Below are 20,127 nucleotides of genomic sequence, written 5' to 3'. Positions count from 1 at the left end.
GCCTGGAACCCCAGTGCACACCTAAGTTTAGCCTCCTACCTTCCACCTTTATTTATAAGAATAAATGATTCTTGCTTAATTTGCATTCTCATATTCATACTATGTGAACCACCAATGAGAAAAGATGCTTCATTTATCTTATGGTGATTCTTAACCCCCATCTCTAAATTAAAAATAAACCCTAAGAATAACCCATTCTCTAAGAAGGGAAATAAACTTGGATTGTGTGGAGTCGTTAAGAGATTACATAATTTAAAGGGAGAAAAGTGCTATAGAGAGGATTCTAGACTTCAACATGAAAACTGAATAAATCCTAGAGCTGCATGCGGTTTACCTTTGAACTGAGCTGTATTTAAAGAAGCATAATCCTGATGCCAAAATGAATTTGTTTAAATCTGTTATTAATCTCAATCTTCCAAAGGAGAATTAATTCTCAGTTTATGGAACCATGTCTCCAGATCAGCTTCCCTTTCGTTTCCAATTCTCTCCCATCCCACAGCTATTCTAAAATCTTCTAGTCACCAAATCCTAAAACACCACTCTATGAGAGCCCACAAAATGGCCTGCCCATTTTCATTCTATTAAGATCAACCTAACTTCCTTGGCTATAGCCTTCTCCTTTATTCCTTCCTATCTACTGAGTCTTCTTTCTTCATATGCACTCTCCCAATTCTGCAGCTCAAAAGATCCAGAAACCAAGGTAGCAAAGTATTCACCTTACAGTGAGGAAGAAGAGAACACTTACACATTAACAAATTTTATCCTGATAATGCCACGTGAGGATCTCTTATGCCTTCTTCCACCCTTCTTGCCTTGTCCTATATCTCCTTAAATTGGAAGTTATCTGAAAAAGTCACAGTTGAGTCCCATTTTTAAATTTTATTTATTCATTCATTCCAAAATATTTATTGAGTACTTTTACACACTGATAATTCAAGCCCTTGGATGGAAATTTCATAAGACTTATAATTACAATCTAAGCTCTTCTATTTTCTCCATTCTTTCCTTCCAGCTTCTTCTAAGGGGCAGCTGAAGGCACCAATAGCAGACAATTAGTTAACTGATTGGGAAGAGGAATATGCTGTCTTCCTGTGCCTCAGTAGAATTCTTCAACAGAATGTGCACAATTGGAACTAGAACAAGCTGAAAATTTGACAATTATCTCTGTTATCTGCTGCAGATTATAAACACATAAGAGTTATCTCTGGCTTAACTTGCTTTTAATTTCCCATTAAAGTTGCCATCCACCCTCTTTATTTAAGTACTATGTTGGTGTGATGGTTAATTTTATATGTCAACTTGACTGAGCCATCAGGTGCCCAGATATTTGGTCAAATATTATTCTAGGTGTGTCTGTGAGGGTATTTTTGGATGAGGTTGATATTCGACTCCGTAAACTCAGTAAAGCAGATTGTTTTTCCTAATATGAGTAGCTCTCATTCAATCAGTCGAAGGCCTGAACCAAACAAAAAGGCTCACCCTCCTGTGAATAAGAGGGAACTCCACCTGCCTGCCTGCTGAGGTGGGGCATTAATCCTTTCCTGCTTTGGGACTTGAACTGAAAAATGGGCTTTTCTTAGCTCTCAAGCCTGAAGGCCTTCAGACTAAGACTTATGCCTTCAGCTTTCCTGGTTCTCAGGCATTCATACTTGAACTGGAAGCACACCATCAGCTCTTATGAGTCTCTAGCTTGTCGACTGCAGATCTTGGGACTTCTTTTTTTTTCTTTTGAGACAGAATCTCGCTCTGTCACGAGGCTGGAGTGCAGTGGTGCCATCTTGGCTCACTGCAACCTCCAACTCCCTGGTTCAAGTGATTCTCCTGCCTCAGCCTCCCGAGTAGTTGGGATTACAGGATTACAGGCACGTGCCACCATGCCAGGCTAATTTTTGTATTTTTAGTAGAGACAGGGTTTCACCATGTTGACCAGGATGGTCTCAATCTCCTGACCTCGTGATCCATCCACCTCGGCCTCCCAAAGTGCTGAGATTACAGGTGTGAGCCACTGTGCCCGGCAATCTTGGGTCTTCTTAGCCTCCATAATCAATGAACCCATTTCTTATAATAAATAAATTACATATATATAAATATATAAGTATTATACAAATATTAAATATATAACATATCTCCTATTGGTTCTATTTCTGTGGAGAACCCTGACTGACATGGTTGGTTACTATAGGCCTTGTTTGTTCTGGGACAGCAGAAGCTCTAAAAGGAGGTGTTAAAGACAAAAATTAGTTCTCTGTCCCTGGAATAAATGGCACCAATAAGTTACATATTTCATGGCTTCAGGCTAATAGAGACTGTAAAATGTTAAGACTAGATCAATGGTTCTCAATTTTTGTTGCATATTATAATCACCTGGGATGTTTTTTAAAATCTGGATGCCCAGAGCTTACTTCAGACCAATAACATCATAATTTCTGTGAGAGACTCAAACATCAATTTTTTTTGAGGTTCCCCAGGTGATTCTAATGTCTAAACAAGGTTTAGATGGCGATGATCTGCTGGTGTCTTTCAAAAGTGATAGAGTTCATTCCTAGCCTAAAGTTGAAAGAAGAAAAGCAGGTAGTAGAAAGTAGTAAAGTTAATCAAGAAGAATAACTCCTGGTGTCTCTTGCTTTAGAAGCTGATAGAGCGATCCATTACCCATCTTGAAGTTTTGAAAAATCCCAGTTTACCCCAGTGGTCTTATTTAAATATAAGTAGAAAATGCACTTTAAAGTAATGTTTTGATGACCTTTTAACTTACTTATCATGTTTTTCCATGACTCTGACCTCTTTCATGGGTAATATGGAGTTGAACCACACAATTAACATCTTCCAGAACGCTGCACAGGTGAAAAACAGAAGACAGGCATGGTGGCTCGTACCTGTAATCCCAACAGCGTGGAAGGCCAAGGTGGGCGGATCACTTGAGCCCAGGAGTTCAAGACCAGCCTGGACAACATAGTGACACCCTGTCTCTACAAAAAAATACAAAAAGTTAGCTGGGCGTGGTGGTGGCACCTGCGGTCCCAGCAACTGAAGAGATTGATGTGGGAGGATCGCTTGAGACCAGAAGGTCAAGTCTGCAGTGAGCTGAGATCACGCCACTGAACTCCAGCCTGGGTGACAGAGTGAGACTCTGTCTCAAAAAAACAAACAACAACAAAAAAAGAAAAACCCAAAAAACAAAAAAAACACAGGGGCCACCAAGAAGGATCAGTCACCAAGTGCCCCATTGCATAAAAAGTAAAGTTTACCCTAAGCAGTGACTAAATACTTTGGAGAATTTTCATTCAATGTTTAAAACACACTGACCAACCACTTCTTAGTATGGCAGCAGGCTCCCCGGCTTGAGAGATTTGTAAGCTGAGACAAGGAGCTAAAGAGAAAGATAGAGAGAGGGAAAGAGAAGGAGGGTGGGAAGATACTGAGAAAGAAGAGATTGGGGGGAGAGAGAGAGACTAGTAGAGAGACTAGACAGTTATAGCTCTTGAGGGGCCATTAAGGCTCAATTCTTTTGCCATAGACCTCTCTCTCCATTCACTCAGCTCCTGTAAATGACTTTTATGATTTACAGGACAGAGGAGGGGCTATTCGTTTCCTGTGTATTATCTCGTTACTTACTAATATCTGAAACCAGACTGAGAGATGGCATAAGCTAAATAGGAGGAGGACAGGGGAAAAGTTGTAATTGTATGAACTTATTCTTTTGAATATATGTCTTGTTTGTTTTGTCAATGGGCTCATTTCATCCATTTTGTGTAACAAAAATATTACTGTAATTTATTAAAATTGTGAGGGAGTAAAATGCAAAGTTTTTTATTTTAACCGCTGAGAGAGGTCATCCTTAGGACTGATGACTCTCTAACATTTATTAGGAATCCAAAGTCTGAACTAACACACATCGTCATCTTCCTAGACTGTTCCTCAGCTAGTGTTCTGTCTGAAACTAACATTCCATCTCAGAAGCTATTCGGTGGAATCATGAGATGCTGTGTCTCTAGCTAGATCCGGCAGGGGCTGAAGAGATGGCATTTATAAAAATGCAGTTTATCACAACTTACATCTAATTTTAATGGAAGAGAGGGCAGTATAATGTCAGCTATCAATGAAATATAACATGAATGGGGACAAATTACAACAGCCCTCACTGGAGTTAGCAGGTATGAGTTGGTTCTTAACTGTTTCTGCTTGTATTATAAAAGCTCAGTCTAGGTTAAAAACCAAATTTTTAAGTGGCTTCAGAGAAAAGGCTGATGGGTTGACAAGAGCTATATACTCTGTAATTAATCACAGAACTCATACTTGGATGGATAAGAACTTGTTGGCCAAAACATGAAAATAACCATTTCAAAGGATCAGTACTTCTCCAGAAAGAAAGCAACCACCGTGTCATAGGGTAATTGTGCTTCAGAGGAGATATGAGGCAACTGGCTTTTACTCAGGTACATTTAGCTATCATATATAATACTGTATTTGCTGCCCTACTAGGCTTTCTTTATGAGAACCTTACAATTAAGGCTATAGCTTTTAGAATCTCTCTTCTAAAGAGCAAGGACAATATTTCTTTTTTATACGGTCTGGCTTATTATCTATATTTACACACATACAAAATATCTCAGAAGGACACCATTAGGCAGTTATCCAATAGTTTTCCTTCACCCTTCTTTATCCTAATTATTAAAACCTTGATTTTGTTTGGTTACAATGTGCCTAGGCCCTGGAAATAAATCATGATGTTTAAGACCCTAACGGTATAGCCATAATCCCTCTTGCTGGATATTTGTTTTCCCAGCTTCCCATGCAGTTAGTGGTGGCCACATGACTCAGTTTTGACCAACCAGTTTACAGCAACTCTCAAGGGTCTTTCTGGGTAATATTTTGGTTTCTGACAAAAGGAATAGGTACATATTTAAGGAGGTTTTTTTGTAGGGTGCCCCTTTCATTCCTCTTCTGTCTGAGACATTGATGTCAGGGCCTGGAGCTGAAATGCGTATATTGTATTGTTACCCATGAGGTGACAAGCATGACAGAAGATGAAGATAATGACAAAGATGCCGACCTAGAGCCCTGATATTGTTAAGCTACTTAACAAGCCCTAGACTCCTGCTAAATAAAAAATAAATATATTTTAGAATTAAACCAATGTTGATTGCGTCTTTGGATATTTGCAACCCAAAACATCTCAACCAGTACAATTCCTTTCCTTTCAGGACAAAAGTTTTTATTACCGTGTCACGTCATCCTGGAGATGATTCTCCTTCAGCTTGCATTTGTAGTATATTAATCCAGTTTTATGTACATTTTAAATAGTTGGTAACCTCCTCATGAAAAGAAATAGAAATTTCTTTCTGTGAAATCTAATAATTATTACTTAAAAGTGTTAACTAGCCCTGTGGCCATTACCAAGAATACTCACAGCACTGCAGTCATTTGCAATTAGGGATTCTGACAAGTGCTCTATTGGAAAGGTTGATACTATGAATACAACGATATTGTTGCCATGTTGATGAATGGACATCGTTGTATGTTTGCTCTAAGAAAGCAATTTTTTATTGAACCTTAAATTCTGCAGAGTGCTTTCACACATATTAGTTCGATTGCTTCTCACAACCTCACAAGGCAGATATTATTTTTAGCTCTGCTTTACAGATAAGGACACCAACACTGGGGAAAACTAAGTGATTGCTCTTACTAATTCAATTAATGACTGGAAGAACTTGGATTTAGATCAAATCCTATGTTCTTTCCATAATACCATGCCAAGAAGAACAGTAACTTAGAGAACTGTGAGGCTCTTGTTTTCCATCTTCAGGCCCAAAATCCCCAGATCTCATGATGCATTTTTAGTATATTACATTGAACTTTAGAGAACTTAAAATATATAATGTATTTGCCATATCCATAATAAATTATTAGCCTAAAAAGCAAAAACAATGTAAGTTATGGTAGACCTGGCTGAAAACAAATTTTGCAAAGCCCTAAAAGACACCAGAGTGATATATAAAGGTGCTCCTTCTCCTGGGACTTCCATAGTCATTTTTCTTATTATCTATTATTACTGGAGTCATAGTAGAATTAATATGTAAACTCATCCAGTAAAGAGACTTTATCTTAGCTATTTTTGTATAGCACAGTGCCTGCCACATAGCAGGCACAGTATAAATACTTATTAAATGAACAAATGAGTTACTGATCTAATCACTCAAAAACACAGAAACACTCTAATCTTTCTTCTCTTAAGCACAGATAGTCTATTGTCTCAAAAAGTTGCTTTGGAGACCAAGGCTCTCTGCAATTTCAAGGAAGAAGCATTATTAGCGGAAGCAAGGTGAGGTTTCTTCACACTTTCTCCTTCTTGAACTGGAGGAAATATTCCCAAACGAGACGAAAGCAATTAGTTTTTTCAGTAGTAATAGTAGTTTCTAGAAATAGCTTATCCATCTTCCATTGGGAACTGTCTCCTTTCTAATCACTTTTCTCCTCTTGCTGGATTAGTTTAGAGACATTATTGCCAGTTTAGTGCACATCTTTGGCATGTAATAGTGCAACCACATCACCACAGGTAGTGAAGGGAAACAACTGGATTAAGGAAAGCTATATGCCTATTAAAGTGCCAAAAGAGTGAAATTATAGCTCAGATAATCTTAACTTTCTGTGAAAGTTTGAAAAAGGTATGGTTTTTTTTTTTTTTAAGAGAAATCCATGTTTCTGGTATTTTTGAGATATGCTTGCATTTTCATTAAACTTAACTTCTCTTACACAGGAAAGAGGTCCGTAACTGAAATCCAAAATGTTTGTGAATTAGCATTGTGCAAACTAGGTTTATCCCAAAGGAGAAAACAACCTCTTCGAAAAATGTGCATGCTTGGATGTTATTTTAGCAGTCTATTCAAATTTATTTGGTGATCAAATCCTTTTTAGAATTTAAGGAAAACACATCATCAATAAAAAATTTTAGTCACTAAATAGTCTAACTTCACAAACATCAGCTAACTAGAAAATCAGAAAGCTCATGGGGACTAAAATGACCCAAGGAAGACATGGATAGCTACTATCATCATAATGTTTGAAAGGGGAGTCTTGCTATTTATAGTAACATGCAAGAAAACTTAGGGAAATGTATGCTGTTATTAACCTGATATCCATCAACATTTGTGTTCCTGGGGGAAAAAATTCTTGAGAAGGAATAGAGCTGTGGAAATCAATGTTCCTGCTACACAGGAGTATGAATCTGATAGTCTTCTAGCCATTTATACACAATACATCATGCTCCCACCAAGTGAGTGCTGGGTGAGTTTATAGAAACCTAAACCTGCTTGGTTTTTATTTCATCTCATGGCCTCTACCATATTTTATTTCTTTTTATTGTGAAATCAATAAGTAGCCTGCTGGCTGATTATGAAGATAGCAAAGAGAGAGTTTTATTCAATTTTCTTTGCTGCATCTTAATCTGTGAAAACCACTTATGATGCATTTACTTAAAGAACCAATTTAAACAAAAATATAAGAAGTGCAAATAATTTAGAACTTCATACTAATATTGAGTAATGACTACAGGGAAAAAACTTCTAATCAACATTTGGATGAGTTAGGCATGGTTACCAATTTTTTTAAATGTATATATTTTAACACTAGGATGCTTTTCTGTAATTCAAATCTTTAAATGAAATCACAATATATAAAACACTCAAAAGTAGTGTGGTTCTAGTTGAAGAAAGTGAGAAACAATCAACTATCTTCCCTAAAGTGGCCTGAAGGCACCTCCAGAGACCTCTAAGGCTCCCAGAAAGACAGTTCGAAAATCACTGGGAAAAGTACCTTGACCTTGAAATCAGGCTCTTGACATGGCTCCACCAGAGCTGTGTCACTTTGGAAAAGTGATTTTTGCCCCTTCGGGTCTCAATTTCCTCACTTATGGAATGAATGATCTCTAACAGAGATCATTCACCTCTTAGAACTAATATTTTACTCTGATTTCCAGATATAACCACTCACATTAAGACCTTGCAAAGAAGTCTTTTTTTTTTTTAATTAATTTTTTTTTTTTTTTTGAGACTTGAGTCTGGCTCTGTCGCCAGGCTGGAGTGCAGTGGTGCGATCTTGGCTCACTGCAACCTCCACTTCCCGGGTTCAAGCGATTCTCCTGCCTCAGCCTCCCAAGTAGCTGGGACTACAGGCACACACCACCACACCCAGCTAATTTTTGTATTTTTAGTAGATACAGGGTTTCACCATGTAGGCCAGGATGGTCTCAATCTCTTGATCTCGTGATCTGCCCACCTCGGCCTCCCAAAGTGCTGGGATTACAGGCATGAGCCACCACGCCCAGCTGGAAAAAAGTCTTTGTAAAACATGTAAACAGTAAAACATGAAGAAAGATGCCCATGATTTACATTAGCATTAAACGTATGTTGATTTGAAATATGATATATTTATTTATTCTTGCAAAATTCCAATACCTCAGGGTCACATTTCATGATCTATAATCATTATATTCCATCTTCACCTTAAATCATAACACATCTCTACACATCAGAGGGAATATTTGTTACCTCATATGTCTGCAGCCCTTGATATTTTAAGGCATTTAAGATTATGTATGTAGTATCTTCGATCTCACATTAGCAAATTGGCAAACTATCTCATTTTCACCTGGAAAAGTTGCTAGTATTATTCTGTATGAGTAAGGTATATGATTTGGTCAGTGGTATGTACTTGGTCAGGTTACAATATAGTAAAATACACATTTTCATTCTCAAAAGTGTACACTTACCTTACAGAATTTTTCACAAGTTGATTTTTTTGTGTCCCTGCACAGCTGTTCTATATTATGCAACTATGTTATGCAGTATTTGGCGTATAAATAAATGTTCAAGTATACCTGGTATAATTAGAAATGCTGTGGGCGTTGAGGAAATTGTAAGGGCAACGCTGAAGTGATTGCCCATGCTGGGCAAGAGATAAATACAGTCAGAAGAAACTGGTGGACTAGACAGGAGGTAAGGGAATTGTCCAGGGATGTTATCTCCTCGTGTTATTCAAGAACAATAAGAAGGATAGAAGGGGTGTCAAAGGGGAGACCAAGAGCCCAGATAACAGAGGCAGAGAAGAACTGAGCTGTGAATTCCAGGGATAGATATGCAGGTGTATTGTTGAAGAAGAATGAAGGAAGGGATTTGGGGGGTCAAGAGAAGGTGAGACCAGGGACTTCACAGAGCATCAGGGAGGACCTAATATGTCTAAGGCAGAACTTCAGAATCCACACTTGCACACTTTGCTTCAGGCACATACAACGTATCACCTAAAGTGTTCAAGCACAGACTAAATGGCCACCAATCAGATGGATTCCTACATCAAGTGGGAGGCTGGTGGCATAATTTCTATACCTCCTAGTTATTTCCAAAATTCTACTATTTTCTCCAGGTAAAAATAATTAATTTGATCTTGCACAAGGCATAAGCACTTATAATTAGGAGTCAATACAATTCAGAATATACAGCAGTTAACTACACATATGAATGAACCTTTAAAATGATAAAAAATTTTTAAGATCCTGAAGCCCTGTCTCTCCATTACACAGAAGAGATAACTGAGGCCCAGGAAAAGCACATGATTTGCTTAAGGTCATGAGAAAAGTTTGATGATTCTGGACTCTGGATTAATCTCTTCTTACCATTATACTGTGTTGCCTTTAAGCCATTTGATTTTTGTGCTGATCTGTGAATTAGAGATAATAGATGCCATTAGCTGGCTAGATCTGTGTGAACAAAGAGAACTGCAGATTTGAGACAACTGTGAAGATAATTCTGTTTCGTAAGATTCTAAAAATGTTTTAATGAAAATACCCCAACAATTGAAACCCGACCATTTTATTTTAGGTTTTTTAAAAATATAGTTATCTTATTCTCCATTTTGCTTTACTAAGTGATCAGTAAATGAAGATATTGGTCTCATCTCTATGAGGTTCCCATAATAAATAATTCAGTTGGTAAATGTACAAAAAAGAAAAATGTTCAAACTCAATATCACCAACAATGAAACAACCTTCTCATGCTACGCACCGAGAAGAAAATAATACAACTTTTGCAGTATTGGCAAAAATGCCTAACCTGAATCCAACCATAAAGCACCACTCAGATATATATTGTTGAACATTCTACAAAATGACAGATCTGGATTCTTTAAAAACGTCAATGTCATGAAATTTTTTTTCTTTAAAGGGGAGGGATTGTTTTAGACAAAAGGAGGCTAAAGAAGCATAACAGCTAAATGCAATATTTGATAACATCCAGGAGGGAAAAACCAGCTAAAAGATCAGAATTGGGACAGTGGGGGACATTTGAATATAGGCTGTATATTAGATCATTTTATTGTATTAATGCTAAATTTTTTGAGTGTGACAATGATATTGCAGCTGTGTAGGAGAAAGTCCTTATTCTTAGAAGACACATGCTTAAGGATGAAGGGGTGAAGTGATGATGTCTGCAACTTATTTTCAGCTTGTTCAGCCAAAAAAAGCAAGCAGGGGGTATGTGTTCATGTGGGGAAAGGGAGAGGGAAGAAGAGAGAGACAAAGCATATATGGCAAAATGTTAATAATTGGTGACTCTAGGTGAAAGGTATGATGAGCGTTCATTATACTTGAAAACTTGCAAAAGGAAAAGGAAAAAAAAATGGAAGGTCTGTGGGTTGTTGTCCTCCATACAAAATACGTAGAGGAAATAAATAAAATGGGAACTTTTACACTTTGTCCAGTAAATTATTAGTTGCCTTTGGGCAAATACTAATTAACAAGGCTATTATGAAGCACTTATAACATTTGAATAAAATGCTAAATAAATGACAGATCCAGTTGTATATGTTTCCTAGGAGAGTTTCTTTCCAGTTATTTAGGAGTTCAACTTTAGTAATCACACATCTCACAAATGAGGTATATGAGATAATCTAACTTCTAGAATGACAGAATACCAAAGTTCCTAGTCAGAACTAATCAGAGGCAACTAATATGGCCTTTTCTTCCCTTTTTAAAAAATCTCACCATACCCAACTAGGTCTGCATTTAGTGGTAGCACATTTCTTGGCTTCCCTAAACGTTAGCCCCTAAGCCCCCAACTAGAAAAAGAGTAATCTAGTATCTAGCATGCAAACTCTTTGTGTGTGTGTGTGTGTGTGTGTGTGTGTGTGTGTGTGTGTGTGTCCTAAACAAAGAAAGGGTTTCTAATTCATCTGGGGTGTGTAGCAGGGGTTGGGAGTTTGCTAGGAAGTTTTCCTAAAGAATGTAATACCTGAGTTAGCAGAAGGTGGAGAGGGTAAAAGACTTTGCAAAATGTGGCAGCAGAATGAACAAAAGCAGCTGCTGGCTAATCAGTTTACCCAAAATATAAAGTAAGATTTACTGTTCCCAGAATGTGAATTTTTTTCCTTCTTCCTCCCAACCTTATAATTCCTGTTCTTTTGCCTTTGTTAATTAAAATCTGATGACTCTTTTCCTCATATCTGAGTCAAATATTTTTTATAGATAACTAAGTAACTAAAAATTTGACAAGAATGGTCACAATTGACTTACAGTAGACAAATCAAGACTCGTTCTTTGGAGCTGGGACTGAGACTAATGCCAGCTTTCCCTCAAGCACATAGCTTTACTAGTCATGCGGATATTAGAGCGAGAAGGCAAGGAGAATGTTAGTTGGGTAGATGGCCATCAGCATCTGCTACAAGAAGAGAAATCAACTCACTAAATATTTTGGAAGGTCAACAATGCTTTGAGAGTGAAGATCAGAAGACAAAAATGACACTTAGGAACTTGGCTTGCATGGCTGAAATTGTGATACTGTAAACTGAGATAGAGAATATAGCAGAGAAAGCAGACTTGGGAGTTATGTTTTTATTAAGATAATAAGTCATGTTTTTATTATGTTGAATTTGAGATACCTTTGGAACATCAAGGTGTAAACATACAGAAAATATTTGAAATTCCAAGTAGAGCATGGGAGTGGATACATATAGATCTGACTGTCATCAGTATAAGGGAAAAAATAAAACTGTGGAGTAGTTAGATCGCCCAAAGAGAATATGTAGCATGAGAAGAGCAGTGGACAGCAGGGAAACCTTTAAGGGAGACAGAGAGAGAGACTAGGAAGGTTTTCAGGGGGCTAGGAGAGAGCAGTGTCTTGGAACCTAGGAACAAGATAGAGAGCTCTAAGAAGTAAAGTGACTGACATTGTCCAATGTAAAAGAGAGGTCCCATTAGCTCCAGTCTAAAAATGCCATCACATCTGCCAGTATGAAATCACTGGTGACCCACAAGCGGGGGAAGGTGAAAGCAGTAAACACAGAGAAGAATAGAAGGTAAGGAAGTGAAGAGAATGATGTAAGCTAATGCTGAGTAGTTTGGGTAAAAAGGAAAATGAGCACATTTTAGACTAAAAGTAAAGGACCAGTAGAAAGGGAACAGTTGAAGATAGAAGAGAGATATGAATTATGAGATAAAATCTGGAAGGCACCAATGAATGTGAAATGTGTACAAAGGAACAGGGGTGAGCCTTGAATAAGGGGGGCAGCACTCATTCTGTGAGCCAGGAAGAGAAACGTACTGATGAAGCAGGCATCAAGAATAGCAATGGCAATACCCCCATTTTATCAGTGACTATGAGGCAAGTATATTAGTCAAAAAAGGAAGTGTATTAGTTCACAAAACTGAAAAGGGGTGTATTGTCATGAGGTGTAGCTAGAGCCAGAGATTCAAGTGATGGCATAAAAGAATCTGTCGTTTTCTCGGCTGTTTTCTTCTGCTTTTATTTTATTTTATTTCCAGGCCTGCTCTATCCCCATGACTACATCTCCATTCTTTTATACTACTTAGCAGCAATGATCTCAACAGGAAAGACTGTCTCTCTCTCTCTTTTTATTTATTTTTATTTTTTTGAGATGGAGTTTCACTCTTGTTGCCCAGGCTGGAGTGCAGTGACATGATCTCTGCTCACTGCAACCTCCGCCTCCCAGATTCAAGAGATTCTCCTTCCTCAGCCTCCTGAGTAGCTGGGATTACAGGCACCCGCCACCACACCCAGCTAATTTTTGTATTTTTAGTAGAGACAGGGTTTCGTCATATTAGCCAGGCTGCTCTCGAACTCCTGACCTCAGGTGATCCGCCTGCCTAGGCCTCCCAAAGTGCTGGGATTACAGGCATGAGCCACCGCGCCCGGCCAAGAGTGTCTCTTTTGCAGTCATACTTTCAAGGTCCTAGGAAAAATTTTCATTGGCTCACATTGGGTCAAATGCCTATCTCTGAACCAGTCACTATGGACAAGAGGATATGATCGTTCACCCAAACCACAGGCATGAGAATGGTGCATGAGCGGTTTTATTAACAGAATAAAAGGAGAATGGATGCAGAACAAGCCACAAGAGATGTCTGACGCCAAGATCATTTGCTGACACCAAGGGTATTGGGAGCTGAGTAGAAACTATGTGAACAGTAGAGATTTGGAATCATCCTCAAAAATATCTGGGAGCTTAACTTTGCCAAGTAACAATATCGACAGGCAGAACCATTTAGGATCCAGCTGAGGTCTACTAAGAGCACAGCCAAGATTCCATCCAACTGTGATTAGCTACTCATGGGTAAATAACAATACTGCCATGTATACCATGTAATAATGCTAGGCCTTGTTCTTAGAGAGTGCATGTACTGACTCACTGAATCCTCCTAACAACTCCATGAGGGTGATGAGAAGATCAAATTGTGCAGGAGCAAAGAAAGTTGATCAAAGCATTGAGGTTTCACTGATGGATGCAGTGGAAGTAGAGGGCTGTGATGGGATCAAGACTTGGTGAAAGTAAGGACAGAAGTGGGGCTGGAAGGAGGCCAGTGGACAGGAGAAGGAAAACATTGAGGCTCTAAGGATCTCTGCTGGGTTGATTGAGGTTGGGGTGAGAGAAAGTCAGACCTAGAAGGACAGGAGGCTGTTGTCAGAGGATAAGACATTAGAGTTTGAGAATTTAGGGGGATTTCAGATTCACTTCTGCCCAACTTTTATTCCCCTCTCTAATATTCAAAAATACAGCTTCTAAGTCATCCAGACCAGAGTCTCTCATTAAGTTTCAGCTCTAGATGAGTAATATTGAGGAAGAAATCCTCTGAGGCTTCTATTTCTTCCACTATAATCTAGTGATTGTAAAATGCCTACCTCAGGTTGTTGTGTGAAAATCAAATGAATTGATAAATATAAGGCACCTACATTATGCTGTATATAGTATATAGTAGAAGCTCAATATACAATACACATTGTCACTCTTACATTATTATTACATCAACATCATTATCATTAGCCTGTACATGGTTGAGAGACACTTTAAAGACAGTATGAGGGCAAGGCTCAGTGTCTCATTCATTATGTATCCTTATGACTTAGCTCAGAGCCTGGCACATCAGAGGTACTTAATGAATGGATATGCAACCCAAGCCTTTGCTGCTTTCCGTTTCACGAGTCTCCCACCTCTAGTGTATCTGGGGAAACCTTTTTTTTTTCTCGTATCTGCTTCTGGTTCAGTTCACACCAAAGCCTGCTTCTTTGTCTGACTTCACTCAACTAATATTATTTGAGGCCCACTTTGCATCAGGCACTTTGCTATGAAGCAGGATATAACGGTGCAGAAGTGGATGAGGTCTTTGTCCTCATTAAAACTATAGGGGTGGCTGGGACGCAGTGGCTCACACCTGTAATCCCAGCACTTTGGGAGGCCAAGGCAGGTAGATCACAAGGTCAGGAGATCGAGATCATCCTGGCCAAGATGGTGAAACCCGTCTCTACTAAAATACAAAAAATTAGCCAGTCGTGGTGGTGCATGCCTGTAGTCCCAGCTACTCGGGAGGCTGAGGCAGGGGAATCGCTTGAACCCAGGAGGCGGAGGTTGCAGTGAGCCGAGATTGCACCACTGCACTCCAGCCTGGCGATAGAGTGAGACTCCATATCCAAAACAGAACAAAAACTATAGGGGAAGCAGACATTTATGAGATAATCTTACAAATAAATGCTAAGCTGTAACTGTGATGCTTGCCATTAAGGAGAGGCTACCGAAAGGAGATTACCTAGTCAGGGAGGGTAGGGGAGGTTTCCCTGTATAAATGATGATTAAGCTGAGGATAAGAAAAAATTAATTTGACATAAAGGGAATGGAAGAGCTCCCTAGACAAAGGGAACAGTATATGCAAATTGTCTCTAAGAAGAAGCACATCAAGCATCAGACATGTGTGGTTGGAAGAGAAAGATACAGAAACCCTGTTTTGTTAGATAATGCCAGAAAGAAAGGTGGTGGCCACAGCATACGGGGCCCAGAATCTTCAGGCATTCTACCACTGGTCACCACTGGAACTATAAGATACCAGCTTTCTTGACTAGGTGTTGGTCTTAGCCAAAGAGAAATGATGGAAAGACCTTACTTCACTTTACTTTCCTCTTAATTCCCTATATACCACTAGCTCAAGACTGCCATGAAGAGCAGAATTTTTACATAAAGGTAGAGAATAATGGAGGGGAAAATATAGCATAGTTTGGAACAAGGAAGAACTGAAAATTTTTCAGTTTTCAGACATTATTGGTTTTAAAATGTTCCCAGTCCATCTTTAACTCCAAACTTAGGATGCTAAACCAAGGCCATCTACACTGGGTTTCTATCCCTAGCAACACAGTTGCAGCATTGTTCCTTCTGATGTTTGTTGTCTTTAACCTAACCCAGATCGTATTGTTAAGTATGACTTCCACCACTACAGATGACAGCACAAAGTATGTAAGTGCATGAAGGCAGGCTCGTTTCTTTGAGTTCATTTCTTCTATCACAGTGAATGACCAAGAACTTCTAGGTCAGCCCACTGAAAACCAGTGAGATGACTTTGTATAATCAAACTCCTATTAACCCATTTATGCCTGAGGCTGCAATTTTTTGAATTTTTCCAATCAGACCTTGGCAATGACCTTGAGCAGCAGGATATAAATAACTCCCACATGCTTAGTGTTCCAATAATGGAACACTAGGCATAAGTGGGCTAATATTAATAAATTAAAAACCTACACGACTTAAAACTTTTCATTCATTTAACTAGCATTTATATAGCACTGAAAATTGTGCCATAGACTGTGCTAGTTCGTGACACACAGGAAGATGAGTAAATCAAAGTTCTTGGCCAGAAAGAACTCAAAAGACAGATCATTTCAATTCAGTGCTTTGTAACAGTGCTGTAACCCAGTGTGACTGTGTTTTGTGGGAGCACAGAGGAGAGTAATTTTCTCTGGGGAATTGGGATGAGGGGACCTCACACAGAACGTAACATTTGAGATGTGGCCTTGAAGAATGAATTGGAGCATTCCAGGAAGAGAGAAAAGAAGGTCTATTCCGAGCACAGGGAACAACATGTGAGAGGCATGTTGGAATGTCTGTCTAGAGAGATGAACCAGGAGGCGCTGACAGACTTTACGGCCTTCATAAAGCAATGATGTAACCAAATCAATTTCTTAAAACTGACTTCAAAGCTCTGGAGATGCCATGCAGCATCATCGCTACTTACCCTTTTAAAGAAATTTTCCTTAGATGTTGTGTACGTTAGTCAAGAAAAATTCAGCCAGTTGTCTTGGGTATTTAGACACAATTTTAAAATTTCATCCAGATAGGCACTAGATAAACCCAGTAATAGGTTTCTAGCCTTGTGGTTTACTCAGCACCTAATCATTGTGGTCCCAAATCAGAGCACTGTATAGAGACCACAAAATGACATCTGAATACAAAGTAAGGATGAATTAGGTGGGCAAGTCCAACAAAATGCAACCATGGAGGCCAGACGTGGTGGCTCACGCCTGTAATCCCAGCACTTTGGGAGGCCAAGGCGGGTGGATCACTTGAGGTCAGGAGTTTGAGACCAGCCTGGCCAACATGGCGAAACTCCATCCCTACTAAAAATACAAAAATTAGCCGGGCGTGGTGGCACCTGCCTGTAGTCCCAGCTACTCGAGACACTAAGACAGGAGAATCACTTGAACCCAGGAGGTGGAGGTTGCAGTGAGCTGAGATTACACCACTGCACTCCAGCCTGGGCAACAGAGCAAGACTCTGTCTCAAAAAAAAAAAAAAAAAAAGCAACCATGCTGCTGATTGGAAAGTCCAGTCAATTCCTGGTTATTTCTGTGTGGATGAGCCACCATTTGCTGTACTCCATTGCCTAGTAATAGTAAGACCAACTATTCACTGAGCGACTATTATGTGTCAGGAGCTTTACCTATGTAACAATCTCTAACCCCCACATGCTTTAGTTGGAAACCTGGCTGTACCATTCACCTTGACTTCGGAAAAGTTGCCTGACTTCTCTATGCCCAAATGTCCGCATCTGTACAATGGGGATACTCTATGTGAGCACTCAGAAAATTGAGGAGCACAATTTTTTTTTTGCTGTTATAATTATTAAGAGCCAGACTAAATTACTCAGTAACCCTTTGCTGCCAAGCATTACCAATATAAAATCTGCCCTACATGAAGGCAACTAGAAAGGTAAATGTCCTATAAAATGATTACAGCTTCCAAAAATAATACAGAAATGACTTCAGATGAAGTCTTTATTTCCCTTCATGATTTGGGACCATAGAAGGATGACATTATTCTTAAGCTGTGTGGCTGTAGCTCTCAAAATTCAGCATATATAAAAATCACTTAGGAAACCGTTGAAACTGCAGATTCTTGAGCACACTCCCACCCCACCCAAGATGCTGGTTCAGGAGGTCTGAGATGACTACTGAGTTTCATTGTCATTTCTTACTTAAAGAGAAAGGGAAAAAAAATCTGGAGGTTTTTTCCCCCTGTTAATTATGTGAGCCATCAGCTCAAATCCCCCACTATTAACCTGAAGCCCATTTGGATTTCTGCAAATCCAAAGCTTCATTCTCTTTCATGTTCTCTTGGCTCTAACCCAATGCCTAGGTTCCCCCAGGTCCAGAATTCTCTGAAACTAACTATTTTGCCTTCCTCTAGGAGTAGGGAAGTAGGACTGACTTTCCAACGTTTAACCCTTGAGAAATAGCTGCAGTGGTTCAGCACATCAAAAGCATGAGTATGCTATAGCAACAGGAGGGGGGATTTCTCCTAGCCTTCAATTTTTCTTTTTCTTATAAAATCAGGGTAAGCACTAAAAAGTAGAAATGAAATAAAAGGCTGAGAAAATCTTGTTCTTTCTCTTACTCTCTTAAGATACTTTTTGAGATAAATCCCTGGGCAAGGAAGTGCTAACATTTTACAGAAATTATGAAGCATCAAGACTCACAGGAAAAACCCTGTTCTTATCCCAGCACTCACTTTGAGAGGGCACTCCAGAGCCCAGGCAAAGCTAGCCTGGAAAATACTGAATTGATGACTTTGCCACGCCAAGGTTTCTCCCCGGTGGGGTATGTGCCAGGCGTCTCCTCTGTGCCTCCCTGTGCTGGGTCCTCGCGTGCTGCATACTCCCTGGACTCGGTCCCACCTCCACCAGCCTCCTAGGCAGGAGGAAATGCAGAATCTGCTCTACCCCAGGTTGCCGCTGACAACTGAAAACTGAGTCCAGGGAGACAGCGTCCTGGGCAGCCTGTTTTTGCTTTTTCCCAATCTGTTCAATTCAGTTTCCTGCCGACAGGAGCGTTCTCTTTTGCCAGCTTTAAATCACTGAGTGCCCTGGGCATAGGCCCGGCCTCTGGAGCTGTGCCCAGTGCTTGGCCCACTGCTTGGCTCACTGCCCAGGAGTTGTCAAGTGTCTGGACAGGGTATCTGTCCCTTCAGCTGCCTGTCCTCCAATCTTCTCCTTGGAACAGTGAGATGGGACACATCCATCCCTGTCATTTTTCCAAGCCTACCCAAAAGCTTCTTCATGCCCTTGTTATGGGAATGGCGCAGTATGGTTACAAGCATGGGCTAAATGGGGAGGGTTCTGGGACTTTTAAAGGCATTTAGGGATTCCTTCTGAGCCCTCCAGTGGTCATAAAATACTTTAAAGGGCTTCTGGGCCCTGGGCTGTGGGTTCTCCAGGAACCACAACCTGAAAGCAGCCTCTGCTTACAGGCCTCTTCTAGAACTTCTTCATCCTTAAGATCCTTTGACTAAAAATAGTTTTTTGGGGGTGGGGGCGGAAATAAACCTGGCTAATTTTATCTTTAAAGAGCTTTTAAGTGAGGCTGAACCTGTTAATCTGTGCTCTGCCAGAGGAGGCCTGATGGGGGCACACTACAGGATACAGACTAGAGGAGAAGAATCAGGCGTGTGGCATAAAGAAGGAACCACCAGCTAGGAGGAAGGATGGCAAGGCTGGAGAATCCTGGCAGGTCAGATTTCCCACACCAGGCTCCTAAACACAGAGATTTCCATCATATGTAAATCTCCAAAGTAGGATGCATTCAGAAAATTGTAGGAAAGTAAACATATTATTTTTCCACTAGGTAAGTGGCCATCGCACATGTTACATATCTGGAAATTTAAGTTAGAGCAGCTTGATCCTTTTCATATCTAATTCTTAGTAGTAGTTCCAAGCCAGGTTGGTATTGCTTATTAACAAAACCGAGGCTTCTTCCCGCACCCCCCACCGCCCACCATAAAAAGGCAGTTATCCCTATAACATAAATCTATATATTAAAAATTTTTGCTATGTTTCCAAAATCATAAGCAAGAGAACCAGGTTCTTTTCCTAATTCAAGATTCTTTATTTCCATATAAACAGAAAGAAATGTCTGATTAGGTTTTTAGAAAACAAGTTTAGCTTGCAGAATAAGCCATTAGAAAAAATCTCAATTTTACCTTTATATACAGCACATTTGGAAAGAAAAACAATTGTGGACCAAAGAAATCATGACATGCTAAAATGTAATTGCCGTGATGACTCTGATTACAGCCACAGTCAAAAGATATTCTAAACTTTTAAACCCACAGTTTAGTTAACTTTTTTTCATGTCTCCTCATTATAATAACAAGTCATAGAATAAATGGTCATTTAGAGCATTATTTATCTAATTCCCACATTTGCAATGAGCTGGAGATACTTTCCACATTCCACTTTTAAAAATTCACTAAAAATTCTTTGGGTCGCAGGAGTAAAATTAAACATCCTGCCATGGATAATGGTAAGTG

At 39.5% G+C, this 20,127-nt stretch overlaps 1 long non-coding RNA gene across 2 annotated transcripts in view, besides 1 other annotated feature; it reads right to left on the bottom strand.

The window, feature by feature from the left end:
* LOC124901018 (uncharacterized) overlaps positions 1-20,127 on the bottom strand; it is a 48,297-nt gene that overhangs the window by 25,229 nt on the left and 2,941 nt on the right. The window contains exon 3 of one of the 2 annotated variants that reach the window (XR_007058843.1): positions 746-844. The exons of the other annotated variant lie outside the window; for it this stretch is intronic. This is a non-coding gene — a long non-coding RNA (uncharacterized LOC124901018). The remainder of the gene's footprint in view (positions 1-745; positions 845-20,127) is intronic. 2 annotated transcript variants of the gene reach the window in all.
* Positions 19,134-19,183: an enhancer, noted in NCBI's record as "active region_22734". NCBI's record gives its function as "activates an Ori minimal core promoter by ATAC-STARR-seq in GM12878 lymphoblastoid cells {active_cell/tissue: GM12878}" and the evidence as "EXISTENCE:reporter gene assay evidence [ECO:0000049][PMID:35858748]".

This window comes from Homo sapiens, chromosome 5 (genome assembly GCF_000001405.40).
Source record: "Homo sapiens chromosome 5, GRCh38.p14 Primary Assembly".
Taxonomy (NCBI): domain Eukaryota; kingdom Metazoa; phylum Chordata; class Mammalia; order Primates; family Hominidae; genus Homo; species Homo sapiens.
Note: the sequence above shows the minus strand (reverse complement) of the source record. Positions and strands in the feature narration are given on the sequence as shown.